Below are 6323 nucleotides of genomic sequence, written 5' to 3' on the forward strand. Positions count from 1 at the left end.
AACCTGGCAGGCTGCGGGTCTCTTTTCCCACTCCTCTCTCCAACCCCCATGCAACTGTTTGAATTTCTCCTTGCACCAGCTGCCCCACCCTCCCTCTCAAAAATTACTTTCAGTAATTACTACAGCTCAAGGATGCTGTCCAATCTAAAATAGCTAATGAGAACCAGTCCTTCAATCTAAACTGTAATCAGCTTATAACAAGCTCCCTTTTCCTGTGCTTCATTACGGTGACACAATCTATTTTTCATACCTCAAAATGATAAGGCAGAGTTGGGGAAAGAGAATCACTCTCCATCACTAGGCTTGCATGAAAGGGAGATGGGCTTAAGCATGCAGAATTGATTTATTTGCATTCTTCTGTTGCTTTGGTGGCTGCATCTTTTAAAGAAGTTAATATTGTATTTTTGATTTGGCCCTGAGAACAGCAGGGCCTGACAATCAAGCATGCTTATTACAGCCAGGAAAAAAAAAAAAAAAAGAAGTAGCCCAGCATAGCTCAAGTGCATGGTGATTTATTTGGACATGTGCAGACTTGGAGCAGAAAGTATTTTAAATTCTGTTGAAGAACCTTACAATTCTGTCTTTATGTGTTTCTTCTCTCTGAAATTTGTGTTTGTTACCTATTACCCCACTAGCTACTTACCTGCTTTTCTTTTTTGTGGGGGGGGCTATGCAAACGCTTCATTGTTTATTTTCAAAGAAAGAACATGGAAGGCACCCACCACAGGGATTCTCACTAGAAGTTTGGGGAATCTGCTTGGCTAATATTGTACAATCTGTTGATAAACACCCAGGCTATTTTAATCTCCTTTCCAACTTTATCCTCCTGAGTTAATTTCCAGACTGTCATTTTTTGCCTGGTGTGATTAAAGTTCGGCCTGTTTAAGCGTCTGCATTCTCCCGGCATGATTTCCTAGGCATTGAGGCTGTGGCAGAGCGTGCCTATTAATCCCACCCTAATGATTAGAGCATCTGAGGAGCTGCAACATTTGATGGGTTAATACTGGTAGCTGAGTCCTTGGATTGAATCCAACTCAGTCATCACTTTGAATGAGGCAGTTTGATGAGCTTCAGTAAGGCTGGGACTGCTGTCATTGTCCATTTGAGACTCCAAATACTAGGAAAAAAATAAAAGCCGGTCTTCGACAGCTAGACAGGTCCTAGGAGTATGAATGTCAATAACATACAGTTATAAAATGCAGATTGGGGCATCTTTGTTATATAATTGTTAATGGGCAGAAAAACCTCACAAAGAACTCCCTGCCCTATTATTTATCTCCCTGCCCCAAAAAGAAAATAACAACAAAAACATTAAAATACATCGGCCAGTTTTTAAAAGTTGTTTTTCTCTGCTTTGTCTAAAATTGTGTAAAAGATAAGGCTAAATTAGAAAATCTTTTACCCAACCTCTTCATTTGTGTAAAATAAATGCACACAACTCATTTAAAATGGGAGGCTTGCAAATTTACTCATTAGACACAATAACCAGTAAGCTGGTGTCTCAACTCAAGAGGAGTCTTCATCAGGCAATTAGGGAAGGTGGTTCTCGGCTGCCTCTCCATCTTCAAGAGCGCTGGATCCAACTTGCTTTTAAAATAGTGAGGCTGTCAGAGGACTCAGATTGAGCATCTGCATTTCAGGCGAGTCCATAAATTAACTTCTAGTACTTATGGCATTCTGAAAGAATGAAACATTCATTGCAATTCATGGTTTGTCTGTTTCAGGAATGTTATGAAACTATGCCTGTTATACAGGGAGAATTTTCTACCTCCAATGTTTATAGGAAGTTATTTTTCTTGCCAAAGCAAGTCATCATACTATCATCCTCTCTCCTCTTTCTCCTTCTCTCCCTCTCACATCAAAGGTGACCCTCTGAAAACATGTAAAGTGGGATACCTTTACAACTTGGTGGCAGGGGACAGAATTCACAGCCTCCTCCTGATTGTTCAATCAGGCCTTCCTCATTCGAGTGTTCAGTTTAAGTGAACTTGAGTCAGCTGGCAGAATATCTGGATTTATATCTTACTGTATTATTTTCTTAAGGGGCATTGATTTCCAATATACATAGTCCTTACCATACTTTCTGCACCTGCCAATGAGTGTCATGATTCTGAATTGTACTGCAAGTCAAAATACCAGTTAGCTGATTCATGTATAGGTCTTTGCTAAAGATGAAGATGAAAGCACCAAGTTGTTTCAGGAATAATATAAATTTACAATCCTGTATCATTACTTTTGTCTTTGCCCACATGCACATAATATAATATGCAGTGAATCTTTATTTTTAATTAAGAACATTTCTTAACACCTTCTATGTGCTGGGCTAGCAGTGAGGGATTGAAGATATTCAGACTGGCAGCACTAAATCTGAAAGTTGATGGTCTCCCACTTGGAATCTTTAAGTAAATAGACTTTTATTGACAACATTAATAGAAAGGGAAAAATAATAATAATAAAAGTCTGCTCCTAAGGTGGTATTTTAAAAAATATTTTTCAGATTATATATTCTAAAGTTATCTTTATATCAGTGATTTTAACAATACTATAGAGTTTATCCATGACTAAGTGTTTAAAGATGTTTGCATTGTTTGTTAACCAATTTAGAATTTCATCCTAAGCCTTCTTAAAATAAACTAGGGAATATATAAATGATTTTAAACACTGACTCTTTGTGATATAGTTTCTTAAGGATAAAAAGATACATGAAATATTCTTATCATCAAGGAGGTTAAAATGTGGTAAAAAAAATGGATTCACTGAGATCACAGTTTACGTGTTTCATATACTGTATTGACAAACACAGCTTAAGAATTACACTAATGCTTTTTTAAAGGTTTTTAAGTTAAAAAATAAAATAAAGGTTTAAAAAGTTACCTAGAAAATTATACTGATGAAATATTTTTCAGTAAACTAGTTATGAGTTGTATCAAAAAGCAAATTTTATATTTACATTGTGTTAAGGGCCACATTGAAGGTGGAGAATATGGTAAAGATAAAAATGGGTAAGGTCTGTACGTTTGGATTTCAGAGCTAGTGCTTTGTGTTCAAATTTCTTTTTTTTTTTCTGTCTCCCATTTTTCTTCCTCCGCCAAAACATAGATGGTATATCATGTAACTAATTTGTTCCTTTTTTCTCTTTAAAATATGAGCAGTCAGTGCCCTCTTTGGTAATTACAGGAGGAGATTATTCAAACAAGTTTTGTTGTAGAAAACAATCTAAATTCTTTAAATAAAGTTTCATAAAGTCTAATTTATTATCATGATTAACCTCATCAATAACACCTAATGATGTAACATTTTTAATGAAATAAGTTGAAATGCCTCCTTACATTTTCAGTTAGTTTTCATCTGAAGTGATCATGGGCTAATCTTTCAGATAATGAGTTAATGACAATGGAATTTTAGTGATGAAAAATATGCTGTCATTATACGTGGATTCTAGTTAGCAAACTTGTATCATCTCAATGGAATTTAAACACAATTCTCTGCAGGTTTATTCGTCTGACATCTAGGTCTTACTTATGGATTTTCTCCTCACAGTCCATTTGATCAGCTGGCAAAAATTAGATTTTAGGCTGTTCAGAGACTGAAAATGGTGGCATATCAAGGATCCTGAAAAGGGGGAGAAAAATGAAATTAGGAAGCATTGCTCATTGCTATAATCTCTAACTTGAGCAAGAAATTCACATGATGATCAAAGGTGGCAATGAGCCACTGTGATAGATCAGGGCAGTGGTACCAGGGCTTCTCAGACTTTGCTTTTCCAATTCCCACTACCAGAGTCAGAGTGAGTCCAAAATGTGTGGCAGGTGATGGTGCAAGAGGGGCGTGCAGAGAGGGACAGTGGGAAGGCCCCAAGTGCATGGGTTAGTGTTTTGGAATTGTGTTTTAGGGCAGTCAAGCTAGAGGTACACATCGCTGACAGTAATAGTATTAATAATGCTAACTACTGTCTATGGCTCAATTACAGTGAAGGGGATGTCTGGAAAGACCTCATGGAAGCGGCAGTGTGTAAGCTGAAAAATGAAAGGCAGCAACACTTGAATATTCAGAAATAGAGTAAGGACATTGAAGACAGAGTGAACAGAGCATCAAGGGAGCCAGTTGTGAAGCTATTCAAATTCCGCGTTGTGGAAACCATCTAAAACCACTTTTGGTAGCTGCAGTTGACCAATGTGGCAAGAATGTTCTCTTATTAAGAAAAAAAAATGATACAAATAAGCCTATTAAGGTACCTAAAATATTTATTCATACTTATTTGCCACTGTGGAACTCAATCTGTACATACAGTGATCACTGAATATCACAGAATCAAGAAAAGTTGTTGGTAATTTTACTAAAATCTATGGACTAGAGAATGTCAGTACAAACAACAAAATCAGGGGTTGTCAAGGTTTATGACCAGTGTTCGGCTGGGAAAAAGTACACTAAAAAATACACATAGAATCACTTATTGTTAATTAAAAGAAAGGAAAAAAAATCTTTCTTGATTTAGCAACACTGTCACAGTCTCACAGATTTTCTCTTTTTAGACCAAAGTAAATCCAGCTCTTAGAGGACATTTTCTATCTGAGTCACACTGATAAAACTCACTGAATAAAGATGGAAAGGTGACACCAGAACAGTTTCTACCCCCTGGGGATGACCAAAATTGTAAAGAACAAAAAATCACGTTTTTTTTTTTTTTTTTTTTTAGCTGTCTAATCCCATTTTGAATCAAAATAAACCTGGCATGCTTGGCAAATGAATTTTTTTTTACACTGGAAACACATTTTCTCATAATGCAATAGCTTTTAATCACCCTTTCAGTCCTTAGATTTGAAATGTTGTTAAGCTTAGTTTTGGTTTGGATAATTTTTGCCCTTCTCAATTATTCATGGTGAGAAGAGTAGTCATCTGGTGATTAATACATATTTATTGAGCATGCTTTGTATGAGTAAAGCACTGAGTGAAGCTTCACTCAGTGCTTTAATAATAAAAGATTTCAGCAATTTATTTTACTTTTTAAATACTGTCCTAGCCTTCCAGGGCTGCAGAATCTGGGCTTTGGGAGGGTGGTAGCCCATGAATTATGTTGAAGGAAGCCTAGGTAAAAAGTGCTGTGAAACTAAGAGGTCAGGATTCACTGGTTCTAAGAGGGCTTCTTGGAGGAGGCCTATGTACTTGTTGAGGGTTTTATGTTCAAAGTAGCTTATTTGCATACTCACATTGGCTTTCGCCTTGACTCTACTGAGAGCTGGAGTTGTGGCTGCAGAATTCCCTATTCTAGAACCTCTGTGCTTTTCATTTTCTAGGTAGATGGGATCATTGCTTCTTTGTTCATCAGTACATCCTTAAAATATTTGCATTTGCTAACTAATTGCTAACTAATTTAACATAAAATGTTTACATTAAAACAAATACAATTCTATAACAGAATATAAGAGTCACATGGATTTTTCAAGATAAAATAAGACTTACTGGAGTTTTGCACTTATAGCAAGAAGCTGCTGGAGGAACACATTTACTTTTTTCTGTCATTTGGGGTATTCCAGGGAGATCTGGGGAGATTGCACTAGTGGTGACTGCAATAGGATTAAAAAGGGCCCTAATCCTCTCAACTAAGTACCATAAACCATTCTTTAGATTGATTATTTGTCTATATGTTTTACCTGTGAATGCAGAATTTTTTTCTTAAGCTTGAACAGCATTTCCTGGAACAGTTTTAAGTATGTTAAAAATATTTTATCTAATTCTCACAATGATTCTTCAAGTAGGTATTGTAACATTTACTTTAGAGGTGAGTTACCTGAACCTCAGGGAGATCGACTTGCTTAGAGTTTTAGTCAATAAGTGGTGGATCTGAGCTTTGAATCCAATTTTTTTGTTTTTTTTTCTCCATTCCACTTACTGCCTCCCACTGGATTTGTCTGAAATGGTTTGTCCACACAAAGGCTTTGCTTGAATGGTGGGTTTGCAGCAGAGTGATGTCATTGAGCTTGAATTGCATTTCCCAGAATTCTTTTCTCTGTAGAGTTCCTTGTTACTGTGGGCCACTGAAGATGTTTTGTGTGTGTGTGCTTTGGGGGCGGCGGGGAGGGGGGTGGATTTGGAAGGTGGAAGTGAAGGAGCAGCCATATTTCTTTTCTGTGAGGAGGTCACTGCTAGGCATGAGACCACACTGGAGCTCACACATGTTTACCTGCTGGCTTCTCTTGTGGGTGTCGGGAGATGGTTGGGTCCTCAGTGTCTGCAGATGGTGTTGGATTTTCTGCTTCTGCTCCTCCAGCTCCTAAGCCAAGTGTATGATGAGGGATACCAGTTTCTGCAGCAGGCATGGTTGG

General features: G+C 37.2%; 1 long non-coding RNA gene across 2 annotated transcripts; it reads right to left on the reverse strand.

The window, feature by feature from the left end:
- Window positions 1-1452: 1452 nt before the first annotated feature.
- LOC105373894 (uncharacterized) lies at window positions 1453-5953 on the reverse strand. Of its 2 annotated transcripts, none has more exons than XR_923934.3 (3): window positions 5789-5953; window positions 3330-3612; window positions 1453-1677 (listed from the first exon to the last, which is right to left on the reverse strand). It is a non-coding gene; the product is annotated as an uncharacterized LOC105373894 (long non-coding RNA). The 2 variants fall into 2 exon arrangements; XR_923935.2 differs by having other exon boundaries at window positions 1466-1677; window positions 3520-3612.
- Window positions 5954-6323: the final 370 nt, after the last annotated feature.

This window comes from Homo sapiens, chromosome 2 (assembly GCF_000001405.40).
Source record: "Homo sapiens chromosome 2, GRCh38.p14 Primary Assembly".
NCBI classification, from domain to species: Eukaryota; Metazoa; Chordata; class Mammalia; order Primates; family Hominidae; genus Homo; species Homo sapiens.